At 38.5% G+C, this 19673-nt stretch overlaps 1 protein-coding gene and 1 long non-coding RNA gene across 5 annotated transcripts, besides 3 other annotated features; one reads left to right on the forward strand and one right to left on the reverse strand.

Moving 5' to 3' along the window:
• Nucleotides 1217–5714, reverse strand: KRT10 (keratin 10). 2 transcript variants are annotated; one of them, NM_000421.5, is made up of 8 exons: nt 5059–5714; nt 4135–4217; nt 3611–3767; nt 3362–3523; nt 3149–3274; nt 2617–2834; nt 1887–2261; nt 1217–1582 (listed from the first exon to the last, which is right to left on the reverse strand). In NM_000421.5, exons 1-8 carry the CDS (start codon nt 5683–5685, stop codon nt 1576–1578), a joined length of 1755 nt encoding a protein of 584 aa, NP_000412.4. In that variant the 5' UTR covers nt 5686–5714; the 3' UTR covers nt 1217–1575. The 2 variants fall into 2 exon arrangements, with proteins under 2 accessions (NP_000412.4, NP_001366295.1); NM_001379366.1 differs by having other exon boundaries at nt 1867–2261.
• Nucleotides 2245–19374, forward strand: KRT10-AS1 (KRT10 antisense RNA 1). 3 transcript variants are annotated; one of them, NR_160888.1, is made up of 3 exons: nt 2245–2308; nt 16215–16299; nt 17482–19374. It is a non-coding gene; the product is annotated as a KRT10 antisense RNA 1 (long non-coding RNA). The 3 variants fall into 3 exon arrangements; NR_160887.1 differs by having other exon boundaries at nt 2245–2270; NR_160886.1 differs by having other exon boundaries at nt 2285–2379.
• Nucleotides 2755–3954: an enhancer, noted in NCBI's record as "BRD4-independent group 4 enhancer chr17:38975907-38977106 (GRCh37/hg19 assembly coordinates)". NCBI's record gives its function as "activates an origin of replication core promoter dependent on BRD2, P300/CBP, MED14 and CDK7 cofactors, and independent of BRD4, by STARR-seq in HCT116 cells {active_cell/tissue: HCT116}" and the evidence as "EXISTENCE:reporter gene assay evidence [ECO:0000049][PMID:35650434]".
• Nucleotides 10266–11465: an enhancer, noted in NCBI's record as "CDK7 strongly-dependent group 2 enhancer chr17:38983418-38984617 (GRCh37/hg19 assembly coordinates)". NCBI's record gives its function as "activates an origin of replication core promoter dependent on BRD2, BRD4, P300/CBP, MED14 and CDK7 cofactors, with strong dependence on CDK7, by STARR-seq in HCT116 cells {active_cell/tissue: HCT116}" and the evidence as "EXISTENCE:reporter gene assay evidence [ECO:0000049][PMID:35650434]".
• Nucleotides 11209–11438: a silencer, noted in NCBI's record as "fragment chr17:38984361-38984590 (GRCh37/hg19 assembly coordinates)". NCBI's record gives its function as "represses an EF-1alpha promoter that drives an FKBP-Casp9 reporter gene in an ReSE screen in K562 erythroleukemia cells {active_cell/tissue: K562}" and the evidence as "EXISTENCE:reporter gene assay evidence [ECO:0000049][PMID:32094911]".
• Nucleotides 19375–19673: the final 299 nt, after the last annotated feature.

Here is a 19673-nt window from a genome sequence, read left to right on the forward strand (position 1 = left end):
GGATTTGGTTAACCTTATAATACATATTTTAAAAGATGGTGTTTCTGAACAGCAGGCAGTATAGCACTATTTACACAGTAGGAGTTCAGAGTCCTTATACAGCGACGTAAGGACTTCACAGTGTTTCAGGGCTCTACGCAGTGAGGCGTGTTGGGACTTCAATAGTGGATCTGAGAAGACTGGCTCCCAAGGTTAGCTGGTACAAATATCCAGAGGCATGTGAGCATTTAGACATTTAGGCATTTAGAGGCACAGGAACGAAAATGGAGAGCCTCTGGGCTGTGCTAATATTTGGTGCTAAGCAGGTTATGAAGCCTTGACTATAGGGAAATCCATCCCATTGAAACAAGGCTCCTGTCATCAATTTGGGGTACAGAGGGTAGTGTCTACAGAGTGGAGTGCCAACAAATGGCATGGGGATCAGGGCTCAGATCTGGAGCTCAAATCAAGGATACTGAGGAAAGCTGCTACTTGGTGGACATGAGTAATCCAAGAACTCATCAGAGGACACAAGGTAGTCTAAGGGACACGCCAGCTTATTCCCTTCATAGGATCCCCAGTAGAGTACTAAGTAATGTTGGTTGGGTTCTTATTGGCTGAGGGATGTGACTGGGCTATGAAAGTACAAGGTCTTTAGTCCTGATCACTGGGCACAGTTGGGGAAGGCAGAGACCTAGTGGTGTCCTTTTGGTTACACTGGCATCACTACTTCCTGACAGCGTTTCTCACGTTCATCTGATGGACATCAAATAATTTTGTTGGGGGTGATATGATTTTACTTGGGTGGTGTCAGAAGATATGTCAAGCTATATAACAATTGGGAAGAAGTAATATAGTAACTGGAAGAAAGTAAGAAAAGGCAAAGGTGAGAAGTCAGGTAATTAGAAAATATAAAATTTCCAATTATTATTATTTTGGGGGTTTTATTTGAGATATTCCAGAATTTCCAGGATTGAAATAATTTAAAGCCAGAGAGCTGGGAGCCTTCCACATATTGTGTATCTTAAAGAGTAATATTGGGGATTTACAGACTTTACTCAGTGAATTTACTGACGGTGGTCTGAACATACATGATTAAAAAACTTAGAAAAGGCATGACAATAGTTCTGTCTTCCGAATTTCTGGATACATCAACCTTCAACTGCTATGGGTTACTAATCTTTAATTTTAAAGAGTATTATGTACTTAAGTAAAGATAAATTCTGACAAATTGGGATAGTTTGCATCAGTAAGAAAGTTTATTGAAATTCATTAGTAAATGAGAACAGAAAGTTGTTTTTCTTTCCATTAAAGAACACTTTCTGGTAAAGTGAAAAGAAGAAATACAGAAACCACAAAACACCTTGTAGACACCTTATTTTCAAGGTCTATTTCCATAGACCATCAAGACAGAAGTGTTTTCTTGGAGACTTTGTTTTCCATGCATCTGTAAATAATGGTCTGTGTGAAGGGAGACTCTTTCCTCTTGATGCAGTTTAATAGTAGTGTTTCTTGGTTTCTGATTCAACCATAGATGAAAGAACTCTACCGTCGGGCGCCACCTCTTCAATAATTGTCTTGATTACTCTGGTTTTGTTAGTATCTGTGTGAATGATGGAAAAAAAATTTTAAACAGTCTGTAGGGATCCTTAGTAATTAACAAGCAAATATTGTAAAAAGAAGGAAATTTCAACTTTACATTGTTAAGCCCAAAAAAATGCTTAAGGTATGACATTTTGATCATGCCATTTTTCACGGCTGGTGTTAAGAGTAGTTTGTGAACAAATGCAAACGGAACCGTCTCTAAGATTTTTAATTTTTTAAAACAACTCTAGAGCTTAAAGCGCAAAAAAACCATCACAGGAAGTTAAAACTAATTCTGATTACCCCAGCTAGTTTCTGCTGACCTTGGTCCCTTAGATGAAGACTCGCCCACGGACCCGGAAGAGGAGGACTTGTGGCCTCCGCTGGAGCTGCCGCCGCCGTATCCGCCGCCGGAGCTGCTGCCGCCGCCGGAGCTGCCGCCCCCGTAGCCGCCGCCGCCGCCGCCGGAACTGCCACCACCGTAGCCGCCGCTGGAACTGCCGCCGTGGCCGCCGCTGGAGCTTCCGCCCCCGTAGCCGCCGCCGGAGCTTCCGCCGCCGGAGCTTCCGCCTCCGTAGCCGCCGCCGGAACTGCCGCCGTGGCCGCCGCCGTGGCCGCCGCCGGAGCTTCCGCCGCCGGAGCTTCCGCCGCCGTAGCCGCCGCCGAAACTTCCGCCGCCGCGTCCGCCGCCTCCGGAACTAAACGGGGTGAGGTCACATTCGGTTATCTCTAACGTTGGAAAACGGTGGGTAGCTTTCCAGTTGCCGTTAATTTAGAAAATAAGCAAAACGTGTTGAAAAAATAAAACCCTGCCAGGTATATATTTTAAAACCCATCCTTTGAAAACAATGTTAAGTTCACAGAACTCTTAAGAATCATTTTGGGCCAAATTCATGAGAAAGTGAGATTGCGGTTGCGTACTCCTTTTTCTGTACTCTACCCTCTCTCCTCCCTTCCTCTCATTCTCTGGCATCTTCTTGGGGTTTAGATAAGCCTTGCTATCTGGAATATTGAATAAAAGAAACTGGGATAACTTTTCATTTTAAAATTTACCTTCCCTCTCCTTCTAGCAGGCTGCGGTAGGTTTGAATTTCATTCTCCAGTCGGATCTTAATATCCAGGAGTTGTTGGTATTCAGTATTCTGGCACTCGGTTTCAGCTCGAATCTGTTGCAACTGTTCTTCCAGAGCGGATATCTGGGCCTGAATCTGTGAGAGCTGCACACAGTAGCGACCTTCTGTTTCTGCCAAGGAGGCTTCCAGGGATTGTTTCTGAAACGGATTTTTTTGTGGCTTAGTGACTTCCTTGTTCAGTTGAGTATGGTGACGCTTATTTGATTATTTAGTAAGGCATTATATAGAAGAATAAGAAAATGAACAGAATTTGTTGTATGTTTAATGGCACCATTTCAGTTTCAGCACTTTTAGATCAACACTAGTAGTACTTTTCCTCCATTAACATGAGCTTCACTTTGTTTTCTCTTTCTTACCTCCAACTCTGCATTTTTTTGTTGCATTGCATATTCTTAGGTGAGCATGAAACTTTGTATGATAAAGTTGAAGTCATTTCATGAGAGTTAACATACCAAGGCCAGTTGGGACTGTAGTTCTATCTCCAGAGCTTGTACATTACGTCTCAATTCAGTAATCTCAGATTTATAGCTGGATATCTGTTCAATGTTATTATCAATTTCTGTAGTCAGTTCCTTGCTCTAGAGTATTAAAAACAAGGAAAAGGGTGAGGAAATTCTGAAATGATAAAACCTCCATGAGTTTCACTATAAGGAAGATTACTTTACCTTTTCATTGAACCAGGCTTCAGCATCTTTGCGGTTTTGTTCAGCAAGTTGTTCATATTGGCTTCTCATGTTATTCAGAAGTTGAGTCAGATCAACACCCGGGGCAGCATTCATTTCCACATTCACATCACCAGTGGACACATTTCGAAGGTCTTTCATTTCCTGTTTGAGGAACAGAAAGATTTATTGGCTACACGAGGACCATAATGAACTCTCTTTTGGCTGGGAAAAGTATAACTTTTGTGTCACCTCCTCGTGGTTCTTCTTCAGATAGGCCAGCTCTTCAGTCAGGCTCTCAATTTGCATCTCCAGGTCAGCCTTGGTCAGGGTCAGCTCATCCAGCACCCTACGCAGGCCGTTGATGTCAGCCTCCACGCTCTGGCGCAGAGCTACCTCATTCTCATACCTGAAACAAGCATGATATCAATACTGGTTATAACTTATATAGGGGAGATGTATCTGGGCAGAGACTATTTAAAAAGCAGCTACATAGTTGATCTCATGTAATGGCAATATTTGTCATGTACAGTTCTCTTAGAAGTAATAGTGGTTTAATGGAAAAAACCTTAGCAGTTACTTTAAAATGCATTTTCTTCCTTTAATATTGCCAAAAAGGTAACACTGACATGGAAAATTTCTCAGATAACTCCAATACTATTTAACTTTGGGTGAATTCAGAAAAATGTAAATGTTATTGAGGGCATCCCAAGTCATTGTTAAAAACCACTGATGTATTCGTTGTGATAGTATTATACAACGATCACTTAACTTACTTCAGCCTGAAGTCATCAGCTGCCAGCCTGGCATTGTCGATCTGAAGCAGGATGTTGGCATTATCAGTTGTTAGGTTGAGAATCTGGAGGGAGAGGCACAGTTATTTGAGAAGAGGTCAGATGCAGATATGGCTTTTGTAGTGACATAGATGCACTCTGCACTTTTATGTTGTTCTCTTACAAAATCTTGGGAAAATTTTTTATTTTAAATATGAAATATTGCAGGCTTACCCATATACTTAACTTTGAATTATTTGTTCTCTTGGAATTTCTCCAGTCTTGTATTTCTGTACACGAATTATTCCTTTCTGAAAACTAACTGGAATTATATAGATGTATTCCTGTAAGTGTGCCCTCCTCTTTTAGACTATGTGATTTCCATGTATTTCAGCCATGCTTTGGCTGACTCACACCTGCATTTGTTTAACTCATGATAAATACTAATAAATAAATACACTCTGAACTGGTACACAATAGGTACAATTCAGAAATTCCTTAGAGGCAAGCAGTGTCCCATTTTCATACTGGAAAATTTATTTTTCTTGCCATGTTGGTACTGAATATGGCTTGTTATCAGTCTGAATAACATTTTGTTCTGATTCATATCATGATTTTTTTTTTCAGTTTCTACATTTGTAAATAGCCTAGCATATTTTAACTGTGGACTCATTGTATGCTCATTAAAACCTCAAAAGTGCTTAGTAAATCTCCCATCCTCTTAAGACAAGTAGCACACTTGCTGGATGAAGATTGCCATGACCATAGTTTCACAGATGTTTATCTTTGATGAGACTGGGTTATTTTTGAAGGAAGAAAGTAACATGGGTAAGCATAGTGAACAGCCACATTGTGCTTAATTTAAGATTCATCTGTCTGGATTACATGGACAAGATACTTAAAGCTGGATTTAAAAATACCTCTTACCTGATTTTTAAGGTCATCGATGGTTTTGTAGTATTTGCTGTAGTCACGAGGCTCCCCCTGATGTGAGTTGCCATGCTTTTCATACCACTCCTTGATTTTGCCTTCCAGCTCATAGTTTGATTCTTCCAGAGCCCGAACTTTGTCCAAGTAGGAAGCCAGGCGGTCATTCAGATTCTGCATGGTTACTTTTTCATTTCCAGAGAGAAGGCCACCATCTCCTCCAAATCCACCACCAAAGCCTCCTCCAAAGCCGCCTCCACCAAAGCCGCCTCCACCAAAGCTGCCCCCACCAAAGCTGCCACCTCCGAAACTGCCCCCTCCAAAGATGCCTCCATAACTCCCACCAAAGCTGCTACTTCCATAGCTTCCACGAAAGCTACCTCCACCAAAACCTCCTAATCCTCCATAGCCACCTGATGAGCCCCCAAAGCAGCCCCCACCAGAGCTCCCACGGCTAAAAGAGCCACCACTGAACCCCCCTGAGCTAAATCCTCCACCAAGGGAGCCTTTGCTGCTAGAAATTCTTAGGGATGACACTCCTCCTCCTCCTCCACATCCTCCTCCTCCTCCTCCTCCTCCACTGCGGGAGGAAGAGTAGTGCTTGCTTGAGCTGTATCGAACAGACATGGTGATGCTGTTTAGCCCAGGGAGTGCCTGCTACCAAGGACAGTGACAAGCCTTTATATACTGAGAGGGTGTGTCCACATGTGTTAGAGTTTGCTTACTTACATTGTTTTCTTTTTGCCAACTTAGCATCTTTGGCTTATGATTGCATAAATTATCTTCAGTAATAACCAATCCTAATATGTACAATTTTGAATTTGCCCTAAGAATAAACAGGAGGTTTGCTATGTTGAAATTGAAAATGGGTGGAGTTCAGATGAGCATGTTTTATTATGCTTTTCACCTGTTGAAGAACATTGAGCAACCGTTAAGATCCATTTTTCTCAGCACTAATTCAGGTTGCATAGAATGTTTGCAAAGTTTAGAAAAAAAAGTTTCAGCTACAAAATTATAGTTAAAATAAGATTTTTCAAATTCATGTTTTAAACAGTTTTAATTGGAGCAACAAATAGCATAAAGTCTGGCAGGATCATGCTACAATAAGGTTCTTGTAGACAACTGTAGGGAATCAAAAAGAAAAAGTTTCTAAAAATTTAACTAGCATCAATAGTTGCCACACATAAAACATTAAAGCCATAAAACCACAATTTAGGAGATTGTGTTTGTAGGAGATCTTTTAATTTATTTGGCAAATGAGAGTATATTGATATTTTGCCTAAGAAAGTGGAAGTAATGATTTTAGAATTTTCTAATTAATGATGGCATTATTTTTAACATTAAAAAATCTGAAATCATAAAGTTATCCTGGATTATTTTGCACTTTTAAATTCATCATAGTTAAGGTTTCTGTGAAGACCATAATAATGCAGAAAATCTGCATTATTTTCTTAGCATGAAATCCGAAGAACTAACTTGTAGTACTTTACACTAAGTTCTGATTGAGTAAAAAGGGAAAATTTGGATATGTTATGATTGCAAGTAAAAATTTGCTTGCAAAAATGTAAATCTATATTAGAGAATGATACTTGCACCAAATATTATGAACTAGACTGTGCACATGTGTTCCCAAGCTAGGTTCAGTTTCTCAATAAAAACAACACATTTTCTTGGATATACTGTGTACAGAATTTGGTATAACAGTTTGTCTAGTGAAGTAAATTGGGATTTTGGTACATTGTATAAGATTATATCTACCCATAGGCTATGACATTGCTGTTGTTTGGATGTATATATTCATACATGTTTTACAATTATGTAGTGCTGTTTGTGATACTGTGCTTTAAAAATTTCTAGAACAAGCTGTTGAGATAGGAATGGTGGTTATTATTATTTCTTTTCTTTCTTTCTTTCTTTCTTTCTTTTTTTTTTTTTAGACGGAGGCTTGCTCTGTCGCCCAGGCTGGAGTGCAGTGGCGCCATCTCGGCTCACTGCAAGCTCCACCTCCCGGGTTCACGCCATTCTCCTGCCTCAGCCTCCCGAGTAGCTGGGGCTACAGGTGTGTGCCACCATACCTGGCTAATTTTTTGTCTTTTTGGTAGAGACAGGGTTTCATCATGTTAGCCAGGATGGTCTCAATCTCCTGACCTCTTGATCTGCCTGCCTTGGCCTCCCAAAGTGCTGGGGTTACAGGTGTGGTTATTGTTATTTCTAATTTATAGAAGAGGAAGTTGAAGTTGAGAGGTTGTGATTTTTTCCTGAAGATATGTAACAGGTGGTTGAACTGCAATTAGAAGCTTGGTCTTTTAACTCCTTGGTTCTTTTCCACTTTACCAATGTGTATATATATTATCTGCTCCAGTGGATTTGGTCTAATGGAGATGAATGACTCTAATTCTCACCGTAAACTTCTCCAAATGGGGAAAAAGAGCAAAACAAAAAGAACTTAGAATCATGAAAATATTCAAAGGGTAATGATTTGGCACACACTCTACCTTTAGTAATTGTTTTTTCAAATTAAGTTTATTGCTGCACATTTTGGTTTATGAAAACTACAGAAATAGTTTCTGTAGGGAAGGGAGTGTGGTTGGGAGCATTAATCAAATGTTGATTGTTAAAGTGGAGGTTACTACCCAGCAGATTGCAACTCTTCCAACTTGTTAGCACATGCAAATGGGGCAGTAGTTAAAAGAAAAACTGAAACCCAACCATGGGAATTGATTCTTGATGAAGATAACCTACAGTTAAAGAAGGCTATGATAAATCAGGATAGGAAAAGAAAAAACTCCAATAACTTCAGAGAACATGTTGAAACCTTGATATTAATGAAATCTTTTTGGAAAGAAACATTTTAATTAAAAAGATATTTTGATTGATTTTACCTGTAATTAGCACAAGTTTTGGATCTTAGTATTACCAATTTTGTTTTAGTATTAGCCTATAATTTCTCCCCCCAGTGGAAAATATAAAAATCCCAGTCTCCTTTCAGTTAATTAACAAGTGGTATGAAGAGAGCTCTGTTACAATCATATTAAACCAAAGAATATATGAAAGGGAATCTTTGCATAAAAGTACATAAGAACAAATACAGGTATGGAGGGCCTTCTAATACTATAACATTTAATTTAAGCTACCTTTACTGTTATTACCAAAGATTACTTATTAACTTGTATACTGTAGAAATTGATTTGTCTTTATTCACACTGTCATTTGTTGAAATCAGCCTTTGGCATGAGTAAAATTAAGAGATGCCACATAATAATTCTACAGCTAAATTGGATGAACATTTATGATTCTAGTCTTGGCACCATTTACACTTGATTGCTATAATCCACTGTAACTGTATTTTCATTGTGCTCAATTTTTATTGTGTCTCTATGTAAAGTGCATTGGTAGGTATTTAAAATATAGAAAAATGAATGAGATACACCTCCCGTCCTTATGGATCTTGCCAGTAGTTACAGTCTAATTGAGGAGACATGACATATACCATCAGTTTAAGCACTGTATGCTATATAAATGGAAAATGATGGTGGGGCTTGGATGTGTAGGGGGAAGGAGTTAACATTTCCGGAATATCTCTATGATCTAGATGGTTTACTTTTCTTTAATCCTGCCCTAGGTTCTCTAAGATAGGTATTATTATCTCGTTTAATAGCTAAAAAACCTAAACCTTAAAAAGTTTTAGAAATTTGCCAGATTATGTATGTATTTGTTTATTTATATATCAGCAGTGTCTGTGTGATGACACACAGCCTGGTTTTGAATCAAGAGATACAGTTACAAAGGTGCTAGTTTTCATGACACCAGACTGGCATTCTTAAGACTAATGAGCAAGGGGTCATGTTGGAATGGGGCCAATTGACAAAGTTTCATGGTGCAGTTGAAATTTAAGCTGAGTCCTGTAAGGATGAGTAGGACTTTTCATGTGTGCAACAGCAGAGAGAAGACTTCTGGGAAGTCAGGACTGTGAAAATGCCAAGCAAGTGGAGACACTGAGTGACCAGTTTGGCTGGAGTAGATCATCCGTATATGTTAATTTATTCATACCTTCAGCAGGTTTTATTGAGCACCTGCAATATGGCCTGGGGAAGGCATAGGTGACCAAGATACAGCTCCTACCCTTCAAGGAGTTTACAATCTACTTGGAGAGGCAAACAAACATACCCACGAATCAGAGATTATAATATAGGGTAATCTGGGCTATATTTGAGCAATGTTCAGGGTTCCGAGGAATTACAGAGAGGTTGTCTAACAGTCTAGTGAATGTGTGTGTGTGTGTGTGTGTGTGTGTGTGGTGTGAGTGCACAATGAAAGAATATTGAAGTAAAGTTCGGGATTGAGGATGAGTTTTGGTTTAAGACGTGAATTTGAGGTAATACCAGGATATTCATGTAAACATGTCTTTAAGCAATTATGGGACTGCTGTTAAGGAGAGAGATTCAGAATAGCAGATTTTGGGGGTAGTTAGGATCCCTAAGGGAAGGAATTTAGAGAGAAATGTACAGAAGGTCTAATTCTGAACTTTTGGAGTCACTTTAGGGGCTGGGAAGAAGAAGTAGAGCTAGAGAATAATCCTGAAAAGAAGGACATCTAGGACCAGGGAAAGGGGGAAAGAGGATCAGTGAAGCCAAGGGAGAAGAGAACGTGGGTGAGGTGATCATCCGAGAGGTCAATGAAAAGATGGATTGAGGAAAGTAATTTGGAACCATTGGCATCCTTCCAGAGGACAATTTTAATTGAGTAGTGGTGGGGCAATTCATGATGCATACCCAATATTGGAATTGATGACTTTGCTTATGGTATTTTATTTTCATGTTGTCCAGTTTATCAATTTCTTCTTTAATTGCTTCTGAACTTTGAGTCGTGGTTAAGACGGATATAGTTGCTATTCGCATGGGGTTAATTTGGCCGGAGCTCTAGAAGCATGTTGTGGATTCAAGTTTGTTATCAGTTTGACTTGTCTCACTGTTGGGATTTGGATCCTTTTTATTTCTTCCTTATTTTGCTTCAAGTAAAATCCGCTTTTGAAGTTTCTAGCTGAAAATTCTATTTGCAAGTTTCTTTTTCTGATTGAGATATAATACATATAATTGAGATATAATGCATAGTTTAGGTAGTTGCAGAAGGACAAATCTGGTAATGCAGGTTATATCTCAAGATGGCAAGGTTGATCTAAATATTTAGAATTTTCTGTTGTTTATCACAAAGTTTAAGAGTCAGGCATTTTCTTTTTACTGTTCTGTGACTGTGCAAATTGCTTAATATACTTTTGTGATTACTACCCACAGAGTCAAAACAAAGTGGAAAATTGTATCATTATTTGATAGATTTGGTACCCTCTTCTCAGATAGCTAATTGTTGGACAACTAAGATATCAATTGATAAAGTTCATGTCTTGTCATTGGTAAACTTCTAAAATTCAGGGATTTAAAATCTACAAACACTCCTATATCAATTTTTCTGAAACTTCTGGGACTGTACTGTGATGGAAGCCACAAAAATATGGAAACTGCTTGAAGGCTTTTGAGTTTTGAGGGTAGTGTAGCAGGGTAAGTGGGTGGGCTCTGGGGTCAGACTGCCGGGGTTACAATCCAGGCTCCCCCATTTACTGTGAGGTTTCATCTCAATGTCCTCCTCTCTAAAGTAGGGATTATAATTTTTCATACTCTGTGGAGTTGTAGCAGGAGTCAAATGAGTTAATAAATATAAAGCGTTTAGAACAATGATTTGCATGCATAGAATAAGCACTTAATGAATATATTTTTGTTGCTATTACTGTTTTGTGATCTCTGTTTCTCATAGGTTAACCCACTGTCCAACCCACAGGATGCCTTCAAAATAGGAATGAATGAAAGGATAGGGTGAGAAGTTAGAAAATGGCTTGTGAGGGAGGAGAAAATGGCTGGAGAGGAAAGTAGGGTGGGGAAAAGGTGTTCAGCTTGATAACTTTTGTGATAAACCATGCCATCTGTTTTTCTTTGAGTGACACTTCCTTTCACTTTAAACTTCATTTCTTTATCTCCTACATCCACCAAGGCACTAATTTTGTCACCTTCTCTTTGTCATAGCTAATGTATTCGTTTCTTTCTGTGTAGCCCCACTGTAACTGCCCTAATCTGAGCTTTCACCACTTTTCTCGAAGATTACTTCACCAGCTTCTGAAGTGGTTTTCTTGACTCAGCACTGTCAATTAAGATCTGTTCACTGCGGCAGGGTTGATGTTCTTGAAACAGTACTGTCATCACTTCATCAACATACTCGGACCTCTTGTGGATGGATTAAGTCTTCTCCATAACCTTGCCCGACTCTGTCTGTCCAACCTCATGCTCCCTGCGGTGAGTCAGGGTGGGGAGTGGAAGGAGTGCTACATTCTCTTCATAAAGTAATTATGTGGCCCTGGGCAAGATACTCAGCTTTCCGTGTCTCAGTTTACTACCCTATAAAATATGGATAGTAATGTTAAATATTAAAATATGGATAATAATCCATGATTCAGTGAAAAAATGTGTGTTAGCATCTCCTTTAAGAATCCTTTAATTACTTAATCCTTTAAGCAGGCCTTTCTACTCTTGGCTAAGATACTATGCTTTGTTCCATTTTAAGGCTTGTGTTTGTTGCTCTTGGCTTAGAATGCCCATCTTCTACTTTGCTGTTTATTCAAGTTATTCTACCTCAACTCCAGACTCTGACTTAAATGCCATCTCCTTCATGAGACTTCCCACCGTTAGTCTGTAGTTCACGGCTGTCTCTTTCTTCTCATTTCCTATGTTGAACAACTTGGTGTTTTATAATTTGTTATAATATTCTGGCCTCTTTATTAGTGTTTCCAATGCAATACGACATTTAAGTTCCTTTAGAGAAGGGAGGGTGCCTCTGTTCTTGCTGCACCCAGTACTCATTGTTCTCTGAATGTTTTCGTATTGCCTCAGTGCCTTTCCCCACTTTCTTTGCCTTTATTTTTTTCTCCAAACTCTTGGCCTGTATGTTTTGGCAATAGTGCAAGTTAAAAATTTAAATGAAGGCTGGTTGAAGACAACTAATTTAATTTTGCTTTAAAGGAAATTATGATACTTTTTGATGTAAGAATATGTAAGAATGATAAGAAAACCAAGATTCTGCATAGGAATTTTAAAATACCTTAAAGTATATAAAGATATATTCCTTAGAATGGAAATACACTATATATATTAAGAAAACATTTTGGCCCTCACTTTTTCCTCTTCATTAAAGGTCACTTTTTTTTTGTCTTGGATCTGTTGAGATTATCTTGATACTAGTAACCTGCTAAAATATATCTGTAGTTTTATTCTAAAATTTGAATTTTTTTCATACATCACATCAAATTAAAAAGCTTCTGCACAGCAAAGGAAACAATCAACAAAGTAAAGAGACAGCCCACGGAATGAGAGAAAATATTTGCAAACTATCCATCTGACAGAGGGTTAATAACCAGAATATATAAGGAGCTCAAACAACTCAATAGGAAAGAAAATCTAATAATCTGATAAAAAAAATGGGCAAAAGATCTGAATAGACATACAAATCTCAAAAGACATACAGGCTAGGCATGGTGGCTCACACCTCTAATCCCAGCACTTAGGGAGACTGGGATGGGAGGACTACTTGAGCCTAGGAATTCAAGACCAGCCTGGGTAACGTAGGGAGACCCCATCTCTACAAAAAATAAAAATAAATTAGCTGGGTGTGATGGCATGTGTCTGTAGTCCCAGCTACTTGGGAGGCTGAGGTGAGCCATGTTCCTGCCACTGCACTCCAGCCTGGGCAACAGAGTGACCTCAAAAAAAAAAAATAAGAAAACATATAATGGCAAACAGGTATGTAAAAAGGGGCTCAACATCATTGATCATCAGAGAAATGACTCAAAACTGTGCAATGAGAATGTGATTCTCACTGCAGTTGAATGAATAATGTAAATTATTACAGTCACAGTAATTTGTTGTACAACTCACCCCGCTTAAAATGGCTTTTATCCAAAAGAGAGGCAATAATGAATGCTAGTGAGGATGTGGAGAAAAGGGAACCCCCTCGTTCACTGTCCTTGGGAATGTAAATTAGTACAGCCACTATGGAGAACAGTATGGAGGTTCCTCAAAAAGCTAATAATAGAACTACTGTATGATCCAGCAGTCCCACTGCTAGATATATACCCAAAATCATGGAAATCAGTATATCAGTGAGATATCTGCACCCTCATTTTTTTTTTGCAATTGTGTTCACAATAGCCAAGATGTGGAAACAACCTAAGTGTACATCAACAGACAGGTTGATAAAGAAAACGTGGTACATATGCTCAATGGAGTACTATTCAGCCATAAAAAAGAATGAGATCCTGTTATTGCAACAACTTGACTGGACCTGGAGGACATTATGTTAAGTGAGATAAACCAGGCATAGAAAGATAAACTTCTCATGTTCTCATTTGTGGGAGCTAAAAATGAGAACAATTGAACTCATAGAGATAGAGAGTAGAAAAATGGTTACCAGAGGCTGGGAAGGGTAGTGTGGGGTGAGGGGGCTGGGAAGTGGGGATGGTTAATGGGTACAAAAATATAATTAGATAGAACAAATATAATCTAGTATTTGATAGCACAACAGGGTGATTATAGTCACAATAATTTATTGTACATTTTAAATTAAAAAAATATTATTGGAATATTTGTAACACAAAGAAATGATAAATGCTTGAGGTAATGGGTACCACGTTTACCTGGGTGTGATTATTATGCATTGTTGCCTGTATTGAAATATCTCTTGTTCCTTCTGAATAATACAGTTACCATGGACCCATAAAAAGTTAAAAATTTTGAATGTTTTTTATATTAGGAGAATTGACAATTCTAGTTGGGTTTCTGGCTAGGTAGCCTATGAGTATGTTGTAATTTAAGGATTAAATATAATATAACTTAGCTTTTAAATTTCATTAGTATGTCATGGGATTTCTTTTCAGGTAAATTAATTTCATTTTGTAAAAGACAATTGCTCACTATGAGTTAGCGCATTAGTAGGATAATTAATTAACATATAACATAAAATAGAAATGTAATATCCCTTTTAGTTTTCATAAAAAATAGTGAAGCCGAAAGTACCAAACAATTCTCTACAGACCCATTTTAAAATATTGAAACTGAACATTGTCCAAAATTCAGTGGCTGTTTTCTCCCCCTCATAAATCTAAGAAAATTCCTTTAGGTCCAGCTGTGGTTGCTTGTCCAATTGGTCATTTCAAGGATGGCTGGATATGAGAGAAAATAACATTATAATTGGGTATAACTTCATAATTTTTACTTAGAGAGTCTGGACAGATCTAAATAGAGTAGAGAAAGTTTTGGATTAGAAATGATACATACAGAGGTTAAGGTTTACAGTGAAAGCATTTAATCCCCCACTCTAGTGATTTTAAGTCAGTATATGTAACATGCTTAAATTTAAAGGAAAAAGTCTTAAGGAATCAAATTAATTTCCTAATTTTAAAGGTTTTTAAAAAATACTTGACCTTATGGACTCAGACAACTAGTCAATTTCATAATAAATGGACCCTCTGTCTTTGAATCACTTTTTTTTTTTGGTAAGGGGGTTGTAAGAATGGTAGAGGAATAGATTTAAATAATTATTTAAATGTAACACACAATAGTAGCAGAGAAAATAATTATTTAAATGTAACACACAATAGTAACAGAGAAAATGTACCACAACCATTCTGTGGCTTCTTTCACAAGGCTGACGACTGATAATCTCCAAAGAACTTTTGATTTCTTGTATTAAACCCATTAAACAAATATGCAAATAACATTTGCAAAGTCAGTCCTAAGATAGAGTTTATAGAGCTTGATGAGACTTTTTTATGTTCCAAGACCTGTTCTAAATTTTACTTGCATTTTTGTCTCATCAAATCCTGTTGGCAACTTTATGAGGGAAATTTTATTTTATTTTATTTATTTTGAGATGGAGTTTTGTTCTTGTTGCCCAGGCTGGAGTGCAGAGATGCAATCTTGGCTCACCACAACCTCAGCCTCCCAGGTTCAAGCGATTCTTCTGCCTCAGCCTCCCGAGTAGCTGGGATCACAGGCATGTGCCACCATGCCTAATAATTTTGTATTTTTAGTAGAGACGAGGTTTCTTCATGTTGGTCAGGCTGGTCTCGAACTCCTGACCTGAGGTGATCCACCTGCCTCAGCCTTCCAAAGTGCTGGGATTACAGACGTGAGCCACCACCCTTGGCCAGAAATTTTATTTTAACTAAAATTAGTTGGCCAGGCGCAGTGGCTCACGCCTGTAGTTCCATCACTTTGGGAGGCCAAGGCAGGAGGATCGCATGAGCCTAGGAGTTTGAGACCAGCCTGGGCAACATGGCAAAACCCCGTCTCTACAAAACACATGCACGCACACACACACACACACACACACACACACACACACACACACACACAGAGCCTGGTGTGATGGCACATGCCTGTGGGCCCAGCTACTCAAGAGGGTGAGGTGAGAGGATCACCTGAGCCCAAAAGGTCAAGGCTGCAGTGAGCTGTGATTGCACCACTGCACTCCAGCCTGGGTGACAGAGTGAGACCCTGTTTCCCACAAACCCCTCAAAAAAGAAAAGAAATTAGTTAAAATTTAGCATGCCCAAAACGATTCAATAAAGGGACTTTGGTGGGATTTGAACACAGACCTATCTTCAGAGCTTTTTAAAAACACAATGATTAACTTTTTTCTTTTTTTAAACACACTGTTGCTGGCTTAAACTGAGTAACTCCTAAAACTCTTTTGAAATGAGCTAAAATTGTATTTTTCAGTTATGTGACTTGGAAAATTAACAAGAACATAAGGGATTTTAGTTTCTTTTTCAGACTAGACAAGCCTTCCTTATCATACTTCTGTGATGAAAAAAATAGACTAATTTGAAAAGAAAAAGAACTAATGAGGCAAGATATCCTGCCCTGGAAGAGATCAGACTTGTAGGCCTTGTCTGTTCCCAGGAGAGACTCTGCACTAACTTCCTGAGGGTCCGTCTGGCATGGGTTAATGAAGGTTCCTAACTCTTTGGCAGACCAGTCATTAAAATAACAAATCACAGCAATTAGCCACCATGCATAATTGAAGCATTAATCCTTTTATAATGCTGGCTTTTTCAGATGGAGCTAACACCCATTATGGAGATTAACCACTTTTCATCAGGTTTTTAACTTAAGTCGTGAGGAATACAACGGTGAACACAAGGTGTGTATGTGAATTAATTTAGTAGTAAACTATGACATGGAGGGGTTCTGTTGCTTTGAAAGTTTCCAACTTATATACATTCAAAAGCTATTAAACTTTTTGGTGTCTCTCCAAATATTTTCCATATTGATAATTTTGGTTGAAATGTAGAGCTAGTTAGAATTTTCTAGTCTAATGCTTAGATATAAATGAGTGCATATTTGCAGAGCTATAAGATGTTGCATTATTTTTTTTTCTTGGCATCTGGAATATAAATGCTAAATTTGGTCTAGTTAGAATTTCCTGCTTCCCTCCCTCCCCTGCTTCCTTCCTTCCATCTCAAAACTCTCCAAGGATGAAGACCCCACAAGCTATATTGGGGTAACATATTGTAACAGTAGTTACTTTCAGTTTCTGTCAAACTAGATTAAAAAGAAGACAAGTATTACATGTTCTCACTCATATGTGGGAGCTAAAAAAATTGATCTCATCGAGATAAAGAGGAGTATAATGGTTACCAGAGAGGCTAGGAGGATAGTAGGGAGGTGAGGGAGAGAAAGTAGGGGATAAAGAGGGTTGGTTGATGGGTACAAACTTACAATTAGAAGGAATAAGATCTAGTGTTCAGTAGCACAATAGAGTGACTATAGTTGACAGAAATTCACTATATATTTTAAATAACTAGAGTGAAATTAGAATGTTCCCAACACAAAGAAATAAGTGTTTGAGATGATGAATATCCCCATTATCCTGATTTGATCATTACACATTGTATGCTTGTATCAAAATATCACATGTACCCCATATATATGTATAACTACTGTGTATCCATAAAATTTTTAAAAAATTTAAAAGAGGAAAGGAATGGAAAATAAAAGTAAAAAGATGATTCATCAAAAATTACATTGTAGAAGAAGAGTGCAGAATGGCATAAACTAGTACCACATAGAACTTAATTTGTAATTGTGAAGAAACCATGTAAGTATATTTACTCCTGGTATTGTGTCTTTCTCTCTTATCCTAATTTACTGTTCCTCTATAGTTTAAAATTAAAGAATTGCCTTTAAATTTTACAGGGCAAACTAATTATACTGTGGAGACACAAAATGTTTTGAGACATCTGTGACCAGACATGTCACGTGTGAATATACCATTGGATTTCAAAGCAACACATAATTTTTTTTTTTTTTCCTTTTACAACAGATTCATTTTATTTTCATCACCATGGGACGTATCCTGTTGTTGAGTTCTCTGGGTCAGACCTCTGAAGACTTCTCAGATGGATCCTAGTCTCTGGGCTTGCCCTGAAATTACTCGCTGCTCAGGGAGAGAGTTGAAATGGTTGGCATCCTCCCACTCTGTTGCTCCGGCTGTGTCCCCTCGCTCTGTTGTTCCAGCTATGTGCCCTCTGTTGCTCCAACTGCAGCTCATTCTGTTAGAGTTCCTCATTCAGCTGGTCACTGTGGCCAGAGGGTGTTGGCCTGCTCCCTTCCTCAAGTATTCTTAAAGCCATGGATTTTTGTGGAGCATTTTTCTTCCTGGCTCTCCCTTGAGTTATTTTCCTTTCTTCGCTATCTTGGGACTCTTCTTTGTGCTTGCGGTCATCGGTTGAGAGAAGGACTTCTTCTTCCTTGTCTCCTTGGTGTTGGCTCGTGGTTGCTCTTCAACAACTGGACTGGAGGCTCTTGGTTTTCTCTTCATCTTCAACAAGTCAGTCTCTCTCAAGGGTCTCACGTTGCAGCATTCTTACCAGAGGCCATTGGGCCTGGAGTTCCAGTTCCAGTGTCTGGAGAGTCCACCTCAGCTCAGCAATCTCATGCCGGTTGGCAATTGTCAGCAGAAGCCGATGCCTGCCCATCAGTTCTTTACTCTGAGGTGTTAGAGTGGAATAAAAATATAAATACTTATACTAGTTTTCATGACTTCTGCTTAATATTGGGTATTTTTTTGTTTTGTTTTGTTTTGGCGGTGATAGGCTTACCTTACATTAAACCAGGCCTTAGCCTTTCTGTGGCTTTGTTATGGCAAAGCCTCATATTACTCTCTAGTCTGGTTCAGCAGGACAGTCAGGTCCACACCTGGGGCTGTTTGTTTTCTACGTTTACCTCAACATAAGGTACCTTATCATTGTCAGCCTTCATCTCCTGATCCAAAATAAAATAAAATGCCACAGGTTACTTGATTTTGCATCTGGAATATGATTATTTAAAGAAATTAAAAATTTAAAACTGAAAATGTAGAGTTTAGAAATCTTTTTTAAGGTTTCAAAAAAATTTCTAGGAGACAACAAAATAGTGTTACTAGATTTAGCAAATAAAATACAGAATGCCAATTAAATTTGAATTTCAAATGAACATTGAATACTTTTTTTGGTATAACTATATTCCATGCAATATTTGGGACATATCTGTTATATTATTCATTGTTTACCTGAAATTATAATTTAAACTGAGAGTTCTGTATTTTATCTGGCAACCTTATTATGAAAATATTTAGGATCAATATAAAGGAATAATATTTTTAATTTTTACAAACTATTTTAATATAAGTAATTTATTTGATTTTCATTGTCATCCTGAGAGTTAAGTTTTGCCTTACAGTCTATGTTACTTTACCTGTGTTTTATGAAAAGACTGTCTCTTATAATGATAGCCACCACCACCATATCTTGACAAGTATTGACATACTGAAACTTTAAATTCATTTTGTGTAGTTCCCGCCTCTTCATGATTGTTTCTGAGGTAATTCAGCTTCTCCGTCTGGCTTTCCATTTTCAACTCTAGGTTAGTCTTGTTCAAAGTCAACTCATCTAAGACACTTCGCAGGCCCTTGCTATCAGCCTCAACACAGTGATAAAGGACAACTTTACTCTGGCATCTGAACAGAGCCCAATTGGAAGAATCAATACAGCTTAGATGGAGGTCTCCTCATCCAGTGGTAATAAAACATCCCACATAGTGGAGCTTAGAGAGCACAGCACTGGGATGTGAAGACATGGGTTCAAATTGCACCTCTGCCATGTTCAGCTGTCACCTTGGGCAAATTACTTCTCTGAACCTTAGTTTTCTCATCATTAAAATGGGAATATTGGTTTTTTGTGTGTGTGTGGTTTTTTTTTTTTTTTTGAGACCTAGTCTTGCTCTGTCACCCAGGCTGGAGTACAGTGGCGTGATCTTGGTTCACTGTAATCTCCGCCTCCCAGGTTCAAGCGATTCTCCCACCTCAGCCTCCCACGTAGCTGGGATTACAAGTGTGCATCACCATGCCTGACTAATTTTTGTATTTTTAGTAGAGACAGTGTTTCATGTTGGCCAGGCTGGTGTCAAACTCCTGACCTCAAGTGATCCACCTGCCTCAGCCTCCCAAAGTGCTGGGATTACAGGCGTGAGCCACTG

The sequence above is a fragment of the Homo sapiens genome, chromosome 17, assembly GCF_000001405.40.
Source record: "Homo sapiens chromosome 17, GRCh38.p14 Primary Assembly".
Taxonomy (NCBI): domain Eukaryota; kingdom Metazoa; phylum Chordata; class Mammalia; order Primates; family Hominidae; genus Homo; species Homo sapiens.

Excerpts from the sequence above, each read along its gene's own strand:
- KRT10 (NM_001379366.1), bottom strand. The coding sequence starts at position 5,685 with ATGTCTGTTCGATACAGCTCAAGCAAGCACTACTCTTCCTCCCGCAGT. Across the intron at positions 2,262-2,616 it reads CTGCTAGAAGGAGAGGGAAG|TTCCGGAGGCGGCGGACGCG; the intron begins GTAAATTTTAAA and ends CACCCCGTTTAG. Across the intron at positions 1,583-1,866 it reads GTCAGCAGAAACTAGCTGGG|ATACTAACAAAACCAGAGTA; the intron begins GTAATCAGAATT and ends TCATTCACACAG.